Here is a 22822-nt window from a genome sequence, read left to right on the forward strand (position 1 = left end):
AAACCCAGAATGCAAAATCTGTGTGTTCTCATGAAGCTTGAGAAGGTGAGGGTAGTTTAAAACAAAGTTTATCAAGTGCACCCTAGAATGTAAAGAGCTCCAAATCACGAGTAGCCCAGCTCCGGCGCTCCCTCACTGAGTGCCTGGGAACAGCTTCCGGATGGCTCGGTACCTGACCCGGAGATGAGGCCCCTTCCTGACTTGCGCACACGGACCTGGAGATGAAGCCCCTTCCTGACTTGCGCACACGGACCCGGAGATGAGGCCCCTTCCTGCCTAGTGCACACGATCACGGGGATCTATAGGCACACGATCACGGGGAGAGAAGCAGAACCACTCGGAGAGCACATTGCAGGGGTTCAACCTCACGCAGTGATGGGAGCGGGCTGGACACTGTGTGTGAAGACTTTCTTTCTGTGTCTGGTGCTGGGCTCTGAAATCCATGGAGCACACAGCCAGGAAGGGGAAAATGAAAATGAAGTGAGGAAAACAGGCACAACCATGACACGGAGGCTGAGCTGGACCCGCCAGGGCAGCCCGGAACTGCATCCTCTTTCTCCCCTGGCAAGGCCCATGCTTCCTTACCGGGCTTCCTGCAGGAGAAGCGGATTCCCTCCGTCATCCAGCTAAACACACGGACACTGAAGGCGGCTCCATCTGGCAGGAGTGGAGGCTGCTGAGGGCCCAGTGGCTGCCCCACCCACCCGGTCAGCCAACAGCAGGCACCCATGTGGGAGCCACAGGGAAGCCTTTGCCCTCGCTCTTACCTTCTGAGTCTAGAATCATGACAAGCCGCCAAAACACCACACCTGCTAAATATCACACAAAATGTCTCTGGGCCTCACAGCCCAGGACCAAGCAGGGAAGGGAATTCAGGTAAACACAGCTCCAGTGTACTTGTGTTGACACAGCCTACGTCCTTCAAAACCAGCGCCGAGCTCAAGGCACAGAGATGCTGTTTCTGGCCTCTGAAAACTGAGTCTGCTGGGGAAGACAAGGTGTACGGGGCTTTTCAGACTACACTGAGTGTCAGAGCAATGATCATGAGAGCTCAGGCCCACAGGACGGAAAAGGGCTCCCATTTGACTCTGTGAAGTGTTTGGGGAGCACAGAGCAGGGTGATAAGGGTTTCGTGGCTGGAGGGGCCGTCTATTCCTGCACAGAGGAGCAGCCGTGGGAAGATGGCTCGACGGCTCAGGGTACGGTGAACAGCAGAGCAACACTTCCTGCAGTAAGACATGTACTGTAGAGCCGGGCGCGGTGGCTCACGCCTGTAATCCCAGCACTTTGGGAGGCCGAGGCAGGTGGATCACCTGAGGTCAGGAGTTCGAGACCAGCCTGGCCAACACGGCAAAACGCTACTTCTACTAAAAATACAAAAATTAGACAGACGTGGTGGGGCATACCTGTAGTCCCAGCTACTCCGGAGGCTGAGGCAGGAGCATCATATGAACCCGGGAGGCAGAGGTTGCAGTGAGCCGAGATGGCACCACTGCACTCCAGCCTGGGTGACAGAGTGAGACTCAAAAGCAGAAAAGAAAAGAACTGTAAGCTATGTAAGTACTTCTCATATTTCCTAGTTATGATGGAGGACAGCCCTGTCTTTCCCGACGCCTTCACTGGCACCTGGTGAGCCCCGACATGAGGCAGGTGTGGACCATGCCTGGCCCGGTGCAGCAGCTCTTGGACACTTAGGCAAGGCCCTTGGCTGCAGCTGGAGAATCCTAAGGTCTTCCGGGCCAGCCTCAGAGACCGCTGAGGGGTCTGAAAGACCAGCTTCTGAAAGTGAGTGATTCAGAAGCCCTGGTTTTAACTGAACAGAATAGTTATTAAACATAAAAAAATTTATCCAGAGGGCCAGCTTAGACATAAATGTGTAAGTGAATGTGGCTCTTCGTCTCTGGAGAAAATCTTGTGAGTTTATTTTCTGTTATTATTTAGCTATTTGATATTGATATTTACACCATATATTGGTGAATTGGCATGTGGACTTTACTCCGCTGTTGTACAGGAGCTAACCTATTTGATGTTTCTATAGTTAAAGACCCTTGAAGGGCATCAAGATTCTAAAGGTTGGCTTTTTTTATTTGACAATATGCAAAAGAAAACTCAAATAGGGACTGTGACCAATGCCCAGATGTATTTTTCATGTGAAGCAGACATTTCTTAATGTATTTGCTTCCCTTTTTTTGCATTAATCCCTCAGTTATTCAGTTTACTGTTAATAAAAGATTATCAAAAGAGCGTTTATAACTCAGCATGGTAGCAGCCAAGGACTTAACGCTGAGATTTCTGGAAATGTGCTATCAAAAGCTATGTACTTGTGTATGCGTGTACCTATAGATCCCCATGAACACACAGACTTTAGTTTTTGTTCATTTTAATTCTATAATCTCACTGAAAGAAAAAGCACCTGCATAAAATAAAAATCTCAAAGAATGGGTCAATAGCCATTGAAAATAATGTTGGAACAGGTGTTGTACAAAAATCTTTGATCTTGAAGACCCTTTTAAAAGTGTCAGGAACAAAGTACATGTCTAAGTCAAAGAGAAAACCCCACAAGTATTGTTTTCTAAAGTAAGGGAGGTTTTTTGTTTAATGCAAACTTTGTCCTATTACCTGATATTTCATCAGTTACCATTGAAAGGACAAAATCCATGGGAATTAGAAATATGGTGCAGAGGGACGCTGTTCTTTCCTTGAACCACAGATACTACAGCGAAGAGGAATGGCAGACAGGCAGAAGGAAGTCCTGGGCACATTCTAAACATTAAGCTAAGATGTAGACAAGCATCTCCTCATCATACCATTACAAGTGCCTAGCTTCTTCTTCTTCTTTTTTTTTTTAATACTTTAAGTTCTGGGGTACATGTGCAGAACGTGCAGGTTTGTTACATAGGTATACACATGCCATGGTGTTTTGCTGCACCCATCAACCCATCATCTACATTAGATATTTCTCCTAATGCTCTCCCTCCCATTGCCCCCGTCCCCCAACAGGCCCCAGTATGTGATGTTCCCCTCCCTGTGTCCATGTGTTCTCATTGTTCAACTCCCACTTATGAGTGAGAACATGTGGTTTTTGGTTTTCTGTTCTTGTGTTAGTTTGCTGAGAATGATGGTTTTCAGCTTCATCCATGTCCCTGCAAAGGACATGGACTCATCCTTTTTTATGGCTGCATAGTATTCCATGGTGTATCTGTGCTACATTTTCTTTATCCAGTCCATCATTGATGGGCATTTGGGTTGGCTTCTTCTATCAGCAACCCTCAGAGCAGTTTGGAAACCAGAAGACGATTAGTTGAGTTTGGAAAGTGGTTAAGAGAGAAAGGAATGGTAGAGGAAGTGCTAGTTTCCTAGAATTTCATGGTTGGATCCCAAGCAGTTGAATTTCCACTTTGCTGACTCCAATGCCTTAAACACCTCCCATTAAAAGTGAAAGGTCCAAACAGTATTTGGAAAGAACCTGGAATTTGGAGTCAGGCACACTCAGGGCAGTTGCAGTGGTGGGCAGCACCCCCCATGCCCACATGAGCTGGCAATGCCCTAGATAAGCAGCTATCTAAGCACGCTTCTCCAGCATTTTTGGTCACAGGGCCCCTTCTCATTCTTAAAAATTACAAAGAACTTCAAAGAGTTTATGCTTATGTGGGTGATGTAGGTCAAGATTTACTGTATTAGAAATCAAAACAATTTGGAGTATATATATATGTGTGTGTGTGTGTGTGTGTGTGTGTGTGTGTGTGTGTGTGTGTGTATAATTTTTTTTTCTTTGAGATGGAGTCTCACTCTGTTGCCCAGGTTGGAGTGCAGTGGCACCATCTCGGCTCACTGCAACCTCTGCCTCCCGGGTTCAAGCAATTCTCCTGCCTCAGTCTCCTGAGTAGCTGGGATTACAGGCATGCGCCACCATGCCTGGCTAATTTTTGTATTTTTAGTAGAGACGGGGTTTCACCATGTTGGTCAAGCTGGTCTCAAACTCCAGACCTCATGATCCACCCACCTTGGCCTCCCAGAGTGCTAGGATTATAGGCATGAGCCACCGCACCCGGCCACATATATATTTTTTAATTCACATAAATATTCTATTTATAAATATTTTTTAAACAACATACTGTTTTGGAAAATAGTTACATTTTTCAAAGCAAAATAGACATTTCTTAGGAGAGTGGCATTGTTTTATATTTTTACAAATCTCTTTAATGTCTGACTTAATAGAAGATGGCTGGGTTTTCAAATCTATAGGCACACCTCACAGATATTGTGAGTTACATTCCAGATCACTGCATGAAAGGGAATATTTCAATAAAGCAAGTCACACAACTTTTTTGGTTCCCCAGTGCATATAAATATTATATTTACACTATAGTAGCCAATAAACTGTACAATAGCATTATGTCTAAAAAACAATGTACATACCTTAAAAATACTTTATTGCTTAAAAAATGCTAATAGTCATCTGAGCTTTCAGCAAGTTGTAAACTTCCTGCTGATGTAGGGTTCTGCCTCACTGTCAAAGGCTGCTAACTGATCAGTGTGGGGGTTGCTGAAGGTTGGGGCGCCTGTGGCAATTTCTTAAAGAGGACAACAATGAAGTATGTCATATGATTGACTCTTTATTTCATAAAAGCTTTCTCCGTAGCATGTGATGTTGCTTGATAACATTTTACCCACAGTAGATCTTCTTTTAAAATGGGAATCTACGCTCTCAAACCTTACCACTGCTTTACCAAATAAGTTTATGTAATATTCTAAATTATTTGTTGTCATTTCTGCAATGTTCTTAGCAACTTCACCAGGAGTAAATCCCATCTCAAGAAACCACTTTTCTTTACTCACCCATAAGAAGCAACTCCTCATCGATCCAAGTTTTATCAAGAGATCACAGCAATGCAGTCCCATCTTCAGGCTCAAGTTCTAATTCTAGTTCTGTTGCTGTTCCCACCACATCTGCAGTTCCCTTCTCCACTGAACTCTTGAATCCTTCTGAGTCATTCATGAGGATGGGAGTTAACTTCTTCCAAACCCCTGGTCATGTTGATATTTTGACCTCCTCCCATGAATTACAAATGTTCTCAATAAATGGCATCTAGAATGGTGAATCCTTTCCAGAACATTTTCAATTTAGTTTGCCCAGATCCATCAGAGGATTCACTACCCATGGCAGCTAGACCCTTATGAAATGTATTTCTAAAATATAAGACTTGAAAATCAAAATTACTCTTCAGTCCATGGGCTGCAGAATAGATGTGGTGTCAGCAGGCATGAAAACAACATTCACCTGCTTGTACATCTGCATCACAGCTCTTGGGTGACCAGGTGCATTTCCAGTGAGCAGTAACACTTTGAAAGGAATCTTTTTCTGAGCAGTAGATCTCAACACTGGGTGAAAATATTCAGTAAACTAGCCTGTAAAAAGATATGCTGTCACCCAGGCTTTGTTATTTCATTTACAGAGCACAGGCAGAATAGATTTAACATCATTCTTAAGGGCCCTAGGATTTTCAGATGGTAAATGAGCACTGGCTTCAACTTCAAGCCACCAGCTGCATTAGCCCCTCACAAGAGAGTCAGCCTGTCTTTTGAAGCTTTGAAGCCAGACACTGACTTCTCCTCTCTTGCTAAGAAACTCCTAGACGGCATCTTCTTCCACTAGAAGGCTGTTTTGTCTACACTGAAAATCTGTTGTTTAGTGTAGCCTCCTTCACCAAATGCCTTAGCTGGATCTTCTGGAGAACTTGCTGCAGCTTCTCCATCAGCACTTGCTGCTTCACCTTGCACTGTTATGTTATGAAGATGGCTTCTTTCCTTAAACTTCATGAACCAACTCTGCTAGTTTAAAACTTTTCTTCTACAGTCTCCTCACTGCTCTCAGCCTTCATAGAATTAAAGACTGGTAGGACCTGCTCCGTATAAAGCTTTGGCTTAAAGGAATGTTGTAGCTGGTTTGATCTTTTACCCAGACCACTCAAACTTTCTCCCTAGTGACAATGAGGTTGTTTCACTTTCTTCTTTATCATTTGTGTGTTCACTGGAGTAGCACTTTTAATTTTCTTCAAGAATTTTTCCTTTGCATTCACAACTTGGCTAACTGGTGCAGAGGCCTAGCTTTCAGCCTATCTCAGCTTTTGACCTGCCTTCTCCACTAGGCTTAATTATTTCTAGCTTTTGGTTGAAAGTGGAAATGTACAACGAATCTTCTTTTCACTTGAACACCTTAGGAGGCCATTGTAGGTTTATTAATTGGCCTAATTTCTATATTGTTGTCTCTCAGGGAATATGGAGGCCTAAGGAGAGGGAGAGAGTGGGAGGAACAGCTGGTTCACAGAGCAGTCAGAACACACAATGTTTATCAATTAAGTTTGCCACCTTATATGGGCACAGTTCACTGTGCCTCAAACCAATTACAGTAGTAACATCAGAGATCACCATTACAGATATAATGACAAGGGAAGAGTTTGAAACATTGAGAGAACTACCGAAATGTGACACGAAGAAGTGAAGTGAGCGCAGCCTGTTGGAAAAATGGCGCCAATAGACTTGCTTGGCATGGGTCACCACAAACCTTTAATTTGTAAAAAACATGGTATCTGTGAAGCACAATAAAGCAATGCACCATAAAACAAAGTGGCCTGTAATAATAAGTAAGGTGACAATAAGTTTCTGTTTTACCAAGCTCTTGAACATGTTTGTGAGCTTCTTTGAACTTGGTTATAATTTTCAGAGCCTTGGGTGACAAGAGCTCTGAAATAATTCATGTGCAACTAGAAAAATAAGCTTCTCGGTATGACACAAAAAAATTCAAATTCTTCTGCTAATAATCATCAAATGCAATTTTGGAGATAGGGATGGAGGCTGGGACTCAGGTCATCAGATTCAGAGGCCTCTGTGTGGACATATCAAAATACTTTGAGAACCTTGGAATGGCTCTTTCTTGGTCTACAGATCTATGTATTTAGTGAGCTCTCAAAAATCAGAGTCCAAATGGCCTGCAGTATAAAGTAAGTTACTATATTTTCAAGTTAAATTTCAAAACATATGTGTGTGTGTTTTGTTTTAAATTGTAAAATAGATTATACATAGCGACATGTTATTCAAGGGATGATAGACCCACAATCTGAAACAGATGCTGTGTTCCGAGGGTTTTGTGGGAACTTGCAGTCTGGTGAGTGAGACCCAGGAATGCTGCTGCTGATACTGAATGGGAGCCTTCATCTCCATAAGCAAAGTCTTCCCAATGTTAGGTTTTCCAATACAAAGTAGTATTTTATTTACCCCCCAAATTTTCCAAAAGTCTTGTGATAAACAGAACACTGCAGATGCCCTTACATCAGAAAACATTTGTCAGTTCCTCTCAACTTAGAGACATGTGCTGAGGGAAAGCCTGGAGCTTTGAGACCAGTACTTTCACTCTGGAGATACAGATGTGAGACTCCCAGCACCCTCACCACTGCCCCAAACTGCAGCAACAGGGCTATTTTGAACTATTCACTTTTAAGGTCCAATTCAGATGGATTCTCCTCTGTGAAGCCCTCCCCAAACCTTTAGTCAGAATTAATAACTCCTGGCTGGGCATGGTGGCTCACACCTGTAATCCCAGCACCTTGGGAGGCCAAGGTGGTGGATCACCTGAGGTCAGGAGTTCAAGGCCAGCCTGGCCAACATGGTGAAACCCTGTCACTACTAAAAATAAAAAAATTAGCTGGTTGTGGTGGTACACGCCTGTAATCCCAGCTACTCGGGAGGCTGAGACAGGAGAATCACTTGAACCTGGGAGGTGGAGGTTGCAGTGAACCAAGATCCCACCATTGCACTCCAGCCTGGGCGACAGAGGGAGACCCTATCTTAAAAAAAAAAAAAAGAAAAAGAGAGAGAGAATTAATAACTCCCTATTCCATATATCCCAAATGCTTTGTAACCTTGACCTTTTTAAGGCCTCTTCCACCCTGTAATTGTGTGTTTTTGTAATCATGTATCTATCATGCTAATTCCCAACATCTGAGGAGTTGTTTGCAGTTTGTATCCCCTATTGGATTATGAATTTCCTGAGAGAAGATATTGCCTTACCAATTGTCGTTACTCTCAGCAGGTAACAAAATAGCTTACATATATTGGGTGTCCCTAAAGCATTTATTAAATTCACTAAGTTATGGGGTTTTTTTTCATGTTCAAGTAGCCAGAATGTAGAAGAGCCAACATTTGAACCCTGACCTGCTGGTCCAGTTTGTAGCTCATTGATGTTTCCTGTACAAAATGCTCCCCCTTCTGCAAAATTAGGTTGCATGTTCAGCTAAATGCTCCCACCTGCAACTTTCAATCAAACTGGACACTTTGGGCCAGTTTACATGAAGTATGAAGCATCAAACTGCAAAAGAAGGGCAACTTCAGGAACCTTCCGCAGAGATGTCCATAATCACAGCTCCTCCCCCATGCATAATACTGTACCCCAACTACCAGGCAGCTCCATGGGCCCCTTACTGACAGGCACTAAGAAATACTAACAGATAACAACAGACACCATCAGATATCAACAGACACCATCAGATACCAACAGATACCATCAAATACCAACAGACAACAACAGATATCATCAGATATTAAACAGATACCAACAGACACCAATATATATTGTCAGATACCAACAGATACCATCAGATACTGACAGACAACAACAGATACTATCAGGTATTAAACACATGCCAACAGACACCATCAGATACCAACATATACCATCAGATACCGACAGACACCATCAGATACCAACAGACAACAACAGATACTGGCAGACAACAACAGATATTATCAGATATTAAACAGATACCAACAGATACTATCAGATACCAACAGACACCAACATATACCATCAGATACCAACATATGCCATGAGATAGCAAAAGACACCATCAGATAATGACAGACACCATCAGATACCAACAGACACAATCAAATACCAACAGATACCATCAGATACCAACAGACACCATTAGATACCAACAGGTGCCATCAGATACCAATGGATACCATCACCATACTTGTGCCCAAGGCCATGCTGTTGCCTTAATCACAAGATCTACTTCAAAACCTGGCACCCCAAATCCCTTCTCTTTGGTAGGTAGATTCTTGACTCCCTTCCTAGGACTGGTGACACCTTACGGGTTTTCAAGTCAGGCCACCATCTGTATTTCCAATGCACAGCACTGGCCTTACCTGCAGAGCTGGCTGGCCAGGCTATTGCCCAATAGTGAAAGCAAGTCTAGACATGGTATTCATGCTCACTGGAATGTCCATGTTAGAACTAATTTCTTAACTGTTGGTCATGATTTTCAGCAAGGACACTGTTCTTGGGGATCACCCATACTGACTGCATTCTATTGTGAAGCTAATCCCCTACAACTAGCCTATGAGCTCTCACGGCCAGGGACAGGGGCTTTACAAAGCCACATTTCCACAAAAACCAGAGTGGCTAAAGCCCGAGTAGCTCAACATTCCCTGAGGTGTCTTATGAAAACATTCAGAAGCTTAGCAGGGCACTTAGTTTGTAAAAAGGTTTGTCTCCCCAGCCCATGTCTGCAATAAAAAAAGCATTGAACATCTTGGGATTACAAGAGCAACAATTAAAGCAAAGCCTAAAAGCTGACCTCACTCTCTCAGAGGCCTGCGCTCTTGCAGGCAGGAGAAACTATTTTAGACTGAGGTGCCAATTTTTACATAAGCCCTGAACCTTCCTTTAGCAAACAAAAGCTAAAGAAAAATTCAGGGCCCTCCCTGGACTGGAGAAGAACATAAACAAGGGAGGTGGGGGAAGGGGCTGCGCCGATGAAAGCTGGTCCTGTCCGGGGAGGGATCCACAGTTCACTCTGTGCAAGATCCCCCAACTCCTTTCAGCCTGAATAGGAAAACATGAAGCTTTTCCACACAATCCCTTTGGTCAACTTAGCAAGGATGGCACTTTAGCGACTCCTTTTCACACCCTCCTGCTATAAGTTTGACTTGAAAGTGTTCTTTAATGTCTTGAAAGCAAAAAGCAAATTGAAGGAAGAGTTGAAGACCCTTTGATGGGCGTGGGAGCTGCTTGAGGTCTTTAAAGGTACAGTACAGCAACTAAAAGAAAAGCCTTTTGTAGTCGGGCGGTTTCTCTAAACCAAATGCTTGCTTGCAGTTCACCACACAATTTCAGGGAATATTGAAACCCTATGGGAAAACTTTTGTTGGCTTCCTGAGTCAGCCCATTATTAAATGTCTAAAATAATTAGTAAGAATATCAGTGGCTCCTTGCTTCTTCTTGGCCAGAGACAATGAGAACAAATGATTCTATTGTTGGTATAATTGGGGTTTTAGTGTGATTATTTTCCCCTATAACTCACCTATTATGTATTTCATGCTCTTAAATTAAGGAGAATTACCAGGATAACAAATACCAACGTGAACAAAATAGCAGCAAAAGTAAATACATAAGTGTGTTTCCACATTTCTGCACCAAATATGGACATACATTTCCAGGGACCAGAGTCGATATGAGTTTGTGGGATGCTGGCTCCAAGACATCCACAAGACATGGTTTCTGGATGCAACTGTGCTAAGGACATCTCACCAGCATAGTGGGAGGCACAGCTCTGGAATAATGATGTGATGAAATTACAACAGTCATTTTCCCTGGGTCCCTCTCATAAGCAAAGCTGTTGAAATGCTAAGTCCCAACTCATCACTTCTGGTGCAAGGGATCATGACAGTTTCTGGGTCTTCTGAACCCCAGACCCTTCTCCACACCCTCCCTGGGCCCCACAGCCCCAGGCTTCCCATCCTGCTTGTGGCTGGCACCTGTACCAGCCTGTGGAGGGGACAATGTCCACCTTGCCTCTCAGCAAATGCCACTCTCAAACTTTACAAGGGAGCAGCCTTGGGCTGTTTTCCATGGCCCTCTACAGGGGTGATTCCTTCATCTGGTTCATTCTTGATTACACTTTCCCACCTCTGGCAGCTGACACAGATATCCTGAGGCCAAGTGAGCCACGATTTGAACCCTGAGCCCCACAAGCCCCTGGAGCTCAGTGTGTTCCCTCACGATCCTCCAGCTCAAAGAGATTTCTCTGCCATCCAGCATGCTGCCAAGGAAGCTGCGGGGGCCTCAGCTTCTGCACATTGCCTGGGAAATGGACATCTTTCCCGTGAGGGTAACCAGGTTGTCTTACGCCTGCTCAGCTCATCCTAAAACTCCTGCCATGTTTGAATGTGCAGGAATATATACGTGAAGCCTCCCCAACCGTGGGATTATCTGTAGAGCTTTTCCACAAACTTCCAACATTTCAACCAGCCTTCCACCCTCTGCTCAGAAAAAAAGAGGGAAAATTTCAAAACAACTAGGAACAAATACCCTGTCAATGGGAACAGTAACAGGGCAAGTGTTGTCTTTGTCTGAGAGATGAGAAAATGAACTTATGGGCAGTCCAGCGAATTGCCGGCTGGCCAGAGATGCATAACTGACCCTGGAAGTCACATGCGGAGATGACCACGCACAGCCATTCCCTTCATTCCCACACCTACACCATTGCAGAAAAGCATGCAAAGGTTAAGTTCTCCTTAACGTAAAGAAAAAAACAGTAGAAGTTACAGTGTCTGCCTACTTACTCCCTATGAAGACAACATTCAATTAATCTTATCCCAATACTAAGAGAAATATGAATTTAGACTTTTAAAAAAGTATTTTACAGGCTGGCTTGTTTGGTCACGTAAACGTACAGTGAACATTTCATGTTTCTGCAGCAATGAGCTGTGTACCGTGTATCTTAGTGGGAAGAGAAGCTTCTGTGAGGGTCACAGTGTGCTTGGACCCTATTCTAGGTGACAAGAGACACCGAAGGTAAACTGAGCTCTCCTGGTGCATTTTGAAAACTGACTTGGAGACCTCAAAGCCAGACGCTGCTTCAAAAAAGAAATCCCCTCAACTCAAAATTCTTTGTTGATTTTATTTTCTAACACAAGATGACCTGATTTCTCTTTTGACTTTCAAGAACCTTCAATATGACCCCAGACTAAAATAGCCATTGCTGTTTCCATGCTTCTCCCATGCACACTGCCTGGCCTCCAGGGCAGGGTCTGCAGGGCTGTGCGCCCGTCATCGCCTCCTCTACAGTCTTCCTCAATTTTCCAAATCCTCCCTGTCCCAGCCCAAGCCCTACGTCCCCTTTCAGACCCTCTCACTCCTACAGCTTCAATACGCTTTTTCATAACTAAGAGCTGTCTGATGACTGCTCCGTGAGCACCTATTGCATGCCAGACCTCAGCTGTGGCCCAGTGGATGGCGGTCCCTGTCCTGCGGGACTCAGCCTCAGGAAAGGACAGGCTTATCACAGAATTGCCCAGGTGAGCAATTCCTTACCAAGAGGGCAAGTGCCCCAAGGGAGGAGGTCAGAGGCTCTCAGTCTATGGAGAGGAGCTCACCCCATCCAGGGATGGGGGGTTTACTTTGGAAAGGGACCTCTTAGTCCAGCACCGCAATGATGCACAAAACCAGCCAGAAGAAGGCACGGGGTCTGCAGAGGGGTCGCTGAGGTGGAGGGACTCCTCAAGCCTGCACCCTCACCCCTGCCGGCAGGGGAAAGAGGCCAGGTGGAGGCTGTGGTGAGAGAGCTGAAACAGACTTCTCTGGAAATTGAGTTAAGAAGGACAGCAGAGGAACACAGAGTTGGCAAGGCCATAGGGCAATCAAAACGGAGCAGAGAGTGTGCAGAGCCAGGAGGCACGGTGCCGAGGCTGAGGATGGGGAGGCCCCACCATGTCATGTGCGGGCTACAGAGTCCAGACCACTCCTAAGTCAGCAGAAAGCCAGGCAAGCACCTCACATTCCCCTTCTGGACACACAGTGGAGAAGTGAGTGTGGGGGCAGAGCCATAGCAAAGGTCTCAAAGGAGTCCCAGCAGGAAGGAGCCAATCGGACCAGTCAAGGTCAGAGCTGGGAGAAATGTCAGAGTTGGGAGAAATGTCAGTCAAAGGTGGGTGAACAGGACCTGGAGACTGATTCTGTTTGGGGGCGAGAGAAAGGAAGGTGCCCAGGCTAGTTCCCAGGCTTCCATTGTGAGCAAGGTGGGCAGACACTGCCATTTATCTGAGTTAGGGGCAACTGGAGGAAAGACGGGGAGGGGTGAGGGCACCGTGGGTTTACTTTGCACACGCTGAATGTGGGATGACTGAGGTATGTGAGAGGTGTCGGGTAAGTGGCCGAGAGTCAAGACTGGAACCAGCAGTCATCATGGGAGACAAGTGCCCACAGTCAGCACACTGACGGCAGGTCACAGGATCACTGACAGGCACATCACGGGATCACTGATGGGCGGGTCATGGGATCACTGGCAGACTAGGCATGAGATCACTGACAGATCGTGGGATCACTGGTGGGATGACTGATAAGTCGTAGGATTACTAAGAGGTCACGGGATCACTGACAGATAATGGGATCACTGAGAGGTCACAGGATCACTGACAGATCCTGGGATCACTGGCAGGATCACGACAGGTTATGGGATCACTGACAAACAGGTCATGGGAATCACTGACAGATCATGAGATCATGGGTGGGATCACTGACAGGTCACAGGATCACTGACAGGTCATGGGATCACTGGTGGGATCACTGAGAGGTCACAGGATCACTGAGAGGTCACAGGATCACTGACAGGTCATGGGATCACTGATGGGATCACAACAGGTCATGGGATCACTGACTGATCATGGAGTGAGGGGAGGAAGGCTCACCCCTTTCCCAATGTCTGTTGCTCTCAGAGCTCACATGGCGTGGTGCTGCCCTCCATTATCCTTTGTAGCTGTTTGGCTGCAGGTATCCCATCTACTAGATTAGAAGGAGAGTCCTTAAGGAATGGAAACCACAGCTTACCTGGCTGGGTGACCACTGCAGCACCCAGTGTCCTGGAGGAGCACTTTATACAGGCTCAAAAATCACCTAGGGAGTGATACAAACACACTTTCCACATGAAAACAGTAGTGACAGCCAAGCACAGGGGCTCATGCCTGTAATCCCAGCACTTTGGGAGGCCAAGGCAGGAGGATCACTTGAGGCCAGGAGTTCAAGACTTGCCTGGGTGACATAGCAAGATCCCATCTTTACAAAAATGTAAAATATTAGCCAGGCATAGTAGTGTGTGCCTGTATTCCCAGCTACTCAGGAGCCTGCGGTGGGAGGATAGCTTGAGTTCAGGAGTTTGAAGTTGCGGTGAGCCATGATTGCACCTCTGCATTCCAGCCTGGGCAACATAATCGGATCCCAATTCAAAAATAAATAAAGAAATAAAATAATTACAGTAGTTACTCTATTGTATAGTGTAATGCACTGTGGGTAGTATACTAATAATAATTGCACTCACAAAGTGGATACTATGTGCCAAGCACCATTCTAAACACTTTACATAAATTAACTAGTTGAATCCTTACAAAATATTATGAAGTAAGTCTCATTTTATAGATATTTCCATTGCAGCGGCTGGGGCTACACATATGCTCTCATGGCTTTCCCTCTGTGCCAGAGGCTTCGACCATGATCTGTGGTGTACAGTGCGTATGCAAGGCTTTCCTGAACAAATAATTCTATTTTTGGTAAAAGCCACTGGGCCTTTTTATTTCCTGTACCAAAGCAGTCAGACTCACATTGCTGGCAAGAGGGGAGATGGTGAAATGATGAAGCAGGCTGCCGTGGTTTGCTTTCTCTCCCTCTCCTCTCGGCTCCCTTCTCACCAGCCCAAAGAGCTAAACTCTTCCCTTCTTTCTTTCGTCAAAGTCCATTCTAAGCTCCTTCACTTTCACTGGGATGTAAATGACAGGCACTGTTTAAAAAGCTATAAAAACCTCTCTCTAAGCGGAGCAGGACTGGGCTCTCCATCTCTCTTGGGTCTCGGTCCCGTCTTTCAAGCCTCCCCGTCTTGCTCACCATTTTGCCCTCTCTGCATTTTCCACCCCAGCCTCAGATCCCAGAGACATCCTGGTCTCCCATTATTCTGTGACTGTGTATGGAGTGAGCTCCATGAGCTCCTTGAGAGAAAACTGTCCGTGGAGCACACATGCTGCCTTCACATGTGGCGGCCACAGGCCACGGTGGTTGCAATGCCTGGATGTGGCTCCTCTGAGTCCATGAGTGGCAGGGGCAGGTGTGGAGTACACATGGGGTTCGAGGAACACACATGTCTCATTCCTAACCTCCACACTGATTGCCCACTGAATGGTGTTTTGGACAATATATTGGATTAGGTGAAATATATTGTTAAAATAATTTCACGGGGGCAGGGCATGGTGGCTCATGTCTATAATCCCAGCACTTTGGGAGGCCGGGGTAGGTGGATCATGAAGTCAGGAAATCAAGACCATCCTGGCCAACATGGTGAAAACCTGTTTTTACTAAAAATACAAAAATTAGCGAGGTGTGGCGTTGCACACCTGTAGTCCCAGCTACTCAGGAGGCTGAGGCAGGAGAATTGCCTGAACCCAGGAGGCAGAGGCTGCAGTGAGCTGAATTTGTGCTACTGCACTCCAGCCTGGGTCACAGAGCGAGACTCCATCTCAAAAAATATAATAATAAAAAATAATAATTTCACTGGGTCGGGCTCGGTGGCTCACACCTGTAATCCCAGCACTTTGGGAGGCTGAGGCAGGTGGATCACAAGGTCAGGAGTTTGAGACCAGCCTGGCCAACATGGTGAAACCTTGTCTCTGCTAAAAATAAAAAAATTACCCAGGCATGATGGTGGACACCTGTCTTCCCAGCTACTCGGGAGGCTGAGGCAGGAGAATGGCGTGAACCCAGGAGGTGAAGGTTGCAGTGAGCCAAGATCGTACCACTGCACTCCAGCCTGGGCAACAGAGCGAGACTCCATCTAAAAAAAATAAATAAATAAAAAATAATTTCACTTACAAAAACTGTATATGGCGGCTACTGTTGAATGTAAAGGTGCAGGTGTGTCTCACAGCGTCCATCGCCCCCCTTACCTGCATCATGCAGGTGAGAATGGGGCCATTGGGAAGCTACACGTGCAACCCTGGTAGCAGCTGAGGGTCCCCATGTGAAAGCCCCTCGGCTGGACTCAGGTGAGATGCTGGGGCCAGGGGATGCAGCAGGGGCCATGTGGAGGGTCCCCTGCTATCTAATCTCACTGTCAGTGGTGGTTTCTGAATGTCTTCACTAGATGAGGAATGAAAAGCATGAGTTTTCGGAGGCTTTACAGGAGCTGTTTGGCAGGGAGTTCACCTTGTTGCATCAAGACTCCCAAGTGCGAGTGTTCACATACATTCCTTTGTAAGCCTGGAGGCAGCACCGCCCACCCACTTCAACCCAGCACTGCAGTTACAGGGAGGAAGACAGGAGATGGGGACCTTCTGGCACACAGCAGGCCTGGCTTTGTGGGTGACGCACAACCCAGGTCCAGACATCAGGTGGCAGCCAGCCCATACTCACCGAGTCACCAGGGGAACTGAAGACACTGTGCCATGGCCCCAGGAGGCTCTGCAGAGTCCAGAAACATGGGAGAAGGAAACTGACTATCTAGTTAGTCATGCAGGCAATGACACAGAAGATGCCTGGTGCAGAATTTCCCTGCCTGATCAGTGAGCAGGTAGCAAAAACTGAGGTCAGCAGAGGCTGGGTCTAGGAGGCTGGCACGGGATAAAGTCTTCCACTGGCCCTAGCCACATGGGTCAGAGTGGAGACTGCGTAAGGAAAGGTCCTTGATTACTCTTCCCTAGCTCATGGGTCCCCATCACAGTGACTTACCAGAACTAAACCAACGCACATGCAGCTGAGTCTCACTACTCATGGTTGTTACACTCTGTAAAGCCACTGTGAATGCTAAACTAGAGGCTGCCAAACCATCGCTCCTACGGTAAAAACAAGGTTAGGTTCCTGCAAGCCTCTGCAAGCCTCTGGGCACAACACTTTGATCAACTGATCAATACGTACCATGTTTGGTGTGTGTTTCTGTCCCAGGACACCTTATTGAATAGGTGGATATTGCTGGTTCATCAACACTGAACTCACAGACAGCAGCATGGTACAAAGCTTCTCTGACACACGTGTTTTCTGTAAGGCACATCATGGCCTTTCTGCACTTGGGAACATGGACAGCGCCTCAGCACTGAGCTTGGGGCCATATTAAACAGCAGAATTACCAACAAAAAGCACAAAAATGTGAAACTAAACAGATAACGTAAAAGACACTTGTTTACAGCTTGAGCTGGAGCAGGAAGGCAGGGCACTGCCTGTTTCAGCTCAGCTGGGAACCTGCACATGGGTGCCTCACACATTCTGCTGCTTCACGCTTGTTTGTGAATGACCACGTCAGCACCACGAGTACTAATCTGGGGGCTAAAAATGTCAGTGCATACACCAATTCACAAATATGGAATCCACCAATAATGAGGATGGACTGTATTTATAATGAACTGATTACTCTAAGTTTCCTTAATGTTCTCTTCTCATTATAAAAACATGACATTTAGAAAAAATTTTAAATAACTAAAAGTATGAAAAAAATTCAAATCTATTCTCACTACCCAGAGACAGCCATATTCTATTTCCATTCAGTCTTTATAATTTATACTTTTTTTTTTTTGAGACGGAGTCTCACTCTGTCACCCAGGCTGGAGTGCAGTGGCACAATCTCGGCTCACTGCAACCTCCACCTCCCGGGTTCAAGCACGGTGGCTCACACCCGTAATCCCAGCACTTTGGGAGGCCCAGGCAGGTGGATCACCTAACATCAGGACTTCAAGACAAGCCTGGCCAACATGGCAAAGCCCTGTCTCTACTAAAAATACAAAAATTAGCTGGGCGCAGTGGCGTGCACCTGTAATCCCAGCTACTCGGGAGACTGAGGCAGGAGAATCACTATAATCTATACTTTTACATATAAATTAAATTTTATGGTGTTTATACAATTCTGTTTCCTGTGTTTTTTCACCTTATATCATGAGCTTATCATCATTAAATATCTTTAAAATGTGTTTTTAGCACAGCTAATTTTTATTACGGAAATAAGAAATGACCATTGTAGGAAAACTTGAAATACAGGGAAAAGTACAGAGAATAAAATTGAAATCCTTTCTGCCCCTACTTTGCCACGAAGAGGCAGCCAGCTGAGAACCAGCACATTTCTGATAGTGTTTTCCTGCTACTAAAAGCATGTTAATAATGATAGCTAATGTTAGCTGAGTATTTATACTTACTGGGCAATTTGATGCCTATAAAATTTAAGCCTGTGCATACTGTGTTGTTACTCCTATTTCATAGACCCAAAATGTGGAGCTTGGAAAGCTTGGTTAACTATTGAAGCAAGAATTCGAACACTGTGCCTGCTGCCTCTGATGTCTGTCCCCTGGGTCTCCGCAGTTGTGTGTCATGTGTGATGCTAATGGGGTGCTGCCTCTTCAATGTTCTTGAAAAACAAAATGCTACATCCGTCTTTTGGGGAGCCATCACTGGCTTAACCACCTCATGATCATGTCATACAGTCAGCCCTCCATACCCATGGGCTCTGCATCCTCAGAGTCAATCAAGAGAAGATCAAAAGTATTTTTTAAAAAGTGAATATAACAACAATTAAAAATAATATAAATGAAAAAACAATGTGGTATGACAACTATTTACATAGCATTTACATTGTATTCACTATTACAAGTCATCTAGAGATCGTTAAATTACACGGGGGTATGTGTGTAGGTTATACACAAATACACCACCATTTCATAGACGGGACTGGAGCATCCAGGAATTTTGCTACCCATGGGGGTTTCTAGAATCAATTCCCCGCAATCGTGTTATTCACAATTTCAGTTTTATAAAGTTCTGTTGTACATACCAATCTAATTGTACATAACTCTAGACTTCTCCATGCGGAAATTATTTTAAGACACTTGATACACAGAACGAAGTTTATTTTCCAAGTTGGTACCTCCGTGCCAATTTTCTGGTCTCTTTGACATTATTGAATATTATTTTTTAATTTTAACAGTTTAATAGGCAGAAAGTGTTGTTACATTATTATTTTGTATATAACTTATTTTATGTTTTGTAGTTGTAACATATTACTCTTGTATGTATTTTGTGAGGTGTAACCCTGATTCTTGATGCTGTTGCAAAAGGTATTGTTTTTAATTTCACTTTCTAACTGTTCATTGTCAGCATACAGAAACACAATTGTTTATAGTCTGACCTTGTTTGCTATACGAGTCCTAGTACACTTTTTGTAGATTATTTTGGTTTTCCTATGTAGATAATCACATCATATGTGAATAAACAGTTTTATTTCTTCCATCAGTATATATGAATTTTACTAATTTTTCTTTCTTTACACCACTGGTTACAATCTCAGGTCCAATGTTGAACAGAAAGCATCACTTTTGCTCTCGTCCTGATCTCTGGGAAAAAGTGTGTGCTCTTTCACCAAGGAGGATGTTAGCTGTAGATTTTTCACAGATGCCTTTATTAGATTAAGACAGAGCTTTCTATTCAGAATTTTCTGAGAATTTTTTTAAAATCATGAAGTGGTGTTGAATTTTGTCAAAACTTTTTTGTTATTTATTGAGATGATATATGGCTTTTTCTTTTTTAGTGATGCATGATGTATGTTGACATACAGAAATTCTTGATTTTTACCAAGCCAAATATATATTTCATGAGTACAGGCAAAGTATCTCTCATCATGATCATATTGCAATTATCCTAGAAATATGATGGTTTAACATTAGAAAATATAAGAGCATCAGGGAGAAAAACAGGTGTCAGTGATATCAACACACAGTCAAAGGGAATATTTGATGAGCATTTCAGGTTAAATATCCCTTATCTGAAATGCTTGGGACCAGCAGAGCTTCAGATTTTAGATTTTTTCAGATTTTGGAATATTTGCATTATAATCACTGGTTAAGCATCTCTAATCCAACATTTAAAATGCTTCAGTGATGCATTTTCTTTGGGTATCATGTCAGTGCTCAAATAGTTCACCATCTGGGAGCGTTTTGATTGTTGAATTTTCAGATTAGAGATTCTCAACCTGTACCCATTTTATGTTTTAAAACAACATTTCTTCAAAATCTAATATTGGAAACTTTAATATTAGCTACTTAATAAAAAAAAACAAGTTGTTTTCATTAAAAACAGGGACCAAACTCATCCCTTATCATCATTAATACTTAGTGATTTTTTGGAAGTTCTGTTCAAATTAATAAGAAAAAACACTGGAGACCCTATAGAAAAACCGGTAAGGTGCAGGAACAAGAAATTCACAGGAGAAAGACCACAGGCCAAAAACCATAGAACAGGTTCAATCTCACCGACCATAAAACAAATTCCATGTAAGATAATGTGATTGGATTCTCTGCCTATTAAACAGCCAAAATTTTAAAATTTTGGATATTAATCCAGTAACACCAGTGAAGTGAGGAAATCGGCACTCCTATTGGTACAAACTTTTAGGGGAGAGATTTTGCTGAGAAAAATAAGAGAAATGCTAAGTCAATGGATAGATGTACATTGGACTTCATCAGAATTAACAACTACTGCTCTTTGAAAGATGCTATTCAGAAAAATAAAAAAAGCAAGATAACGATTGGGAGAAAATGTTTCCAAACACATATCTAATGAAGACTTGCACCAGAATTTATAAGGAACTCTTACAAATCAATCATGAGACAAACACTATGATTTAAAAAGGGAAGAAGGAAGAGATTTGAACAGACACTTCACCAAAGAGGATGTATCTATACATCTGAGACCATTTGTCATCAAGGAAATGCAATTGAAATCACAATGAGACATCATTACATATGTATTAGAATGACTAAAGTTCTGGTAAAGGCTGGCTGTTGGAACTCTCACACATTTCTGATAGGAATACAAAATGGTGCAGCTATTTTAGAAAACAGCTTGACATTTTCTTATGTTTAGTAACCATATCCACTTACCCACTCCAGGTATTTACCCAAGAGAAACTAAGACCTACACAAGAATGTTGATATTAACCTTATTCATAATAGCCCCAAACGGAAAACACCCAGATGTTCATCCAATGGTGAATGGATAAACAAATTGTCAAAAGTAGTATAATCGGATATGACTCAGGAATTATTAGAAGCAACACACTACTGTCTACCATACCTGCAGAGGAATTTTAAAAGGATTCTGTTAACTGGAGGAAGGCCAGACATAAAACCCTGCATAGCATATGATTCTATTAATACAATATTCCAGAGGAGATAAACTATAGGGACAGATATCAGATCAGTGGTTTCCAGGGTCTTGGGTAGAAAGAGAGAATTTATTGCAAAAGGCAGGAGGAAATTTGGGAGATTGTGGGAGTGTTTTCTCTATTGGCTGCGGTCATCGTGGTTACACAACTGTAAACATTTGTCAAAACCCTAACTGTACACTTTAAAGAGGGTTTTTTACTGTATATAAATTAAACTTCAATAAACATATCCAAGGGAAAAGAACAGACCAAAATTCCAAATATAACCCAACAAACAGAGAAGTAAAGCACACTTCTCCACATGTTTTAAATTGTACCATCAGACATCTATCCTTTGGACCATGGCTTTAGGTCTCCTGGGTCCTTATTAGAATGCAAACACCCTTACAGTATGAGTCACATCCAAATTTTCTCCATTATTAATGCATCTGCCCCTTCAACTATCAGCAAAGCTAAGGCTGGGGATTGCAAGGGACAAGCATATCCGGGGAGGGGCCCTGACCACACTGGGCAGATGGAATGAGAGGCCTCAGATGTGAACAGGAGGAACCCAAGAGGACGCCTGAAAGCCCGTGGAAAGGCTCCCTGCTCCACTGCCTTGGCTTTCCAAGCTCCACTCTGCTCACAGAGTCTTCCTTCTGTCCTCAGGCAGGTTCTTCCCACCACTGGAACACTGACAGTGTGAAAACATCATCATGGTGTCACTGTCAACACGTAATTACACAAATGCAGAAATATCCATGTCGATAACAGAGTCATGGTCTTCAGAGAGCAAAGCCAATCCCCATCCTCAAGGGTTTCCTCCATGTTCACTCAGACATTAAGAGTGGACTCTATCAGGCCGGATGCAGTGGCTCACGCTTATAATCCCAGCACTTTGGGAGGCTGAGGCGGGCGGATCACCTGAGGTCAGGAGTTCGGAGACCAGCCTGACCAACATGGTGAAACCCCGTCTCTACTAAAACACAAAAAAATTGGCCGGGCATGGTGGCACGCACCTGCAGTCCCAGCTACTAGGGAGGCTGAGGCAGGAGAATCAATTGAACCCGGGAGGAGGTTGCAGTGAGCCCATATCACCCCACTGCACTCCAGTCTGGCAACAGAGCAAGACTCCATCTCAAAAAAAAAAAAAGAGCAGTCAGAGTGGACTCTTAGCAGAGAGGTCTTTCCCTGGGAGGCACTCTAGCTTCTCTTGACAGAAAGGAGGGAGAGACTTTGGCTTTTATTTTCTACTCTGGCCTTTTCTTGGCAGCACATTTTGGCAAACGTTGGTGCATATCATAGGAGGGTCTTGCACATTTGGGAGAGAGTCTCTCCCTTGCCAACTCCAACACCCCAGGCCAGGAGCATCCTGCTGCCTGCCCAGCGCTCCAGCAGGGAAGCCCTTCTACATTCAAGGGGCAGAGTTAAGCCAGAAAATCCTACTGCTAAAATGCAGTCCTGGGACACTCACAACAGAAGTTGTACGTTTCAAACTGTGCAAAGAGCAGCAGCAGAGCCTTCCGAGATGCAGGAGCGACTGGACCCCACATCCTGCCCAGGTGGGCCCACACTCTGTTCAGGATGGCCCAGGCCAACCCCTC

The sequence above is a fragment of the Homo sapiens genome, chromosome 7 (genome assembly GCF_000001405.40).
Source record: "Homo sapiens chromosome 7, GRCh38.p14 Primary Assembly".
Classification (NCBI taxonomy): Eukaryota; Metazoa; Chordata; class Mammalia; order Primates; family Hominidae; genus Homo; species Homo sapiens.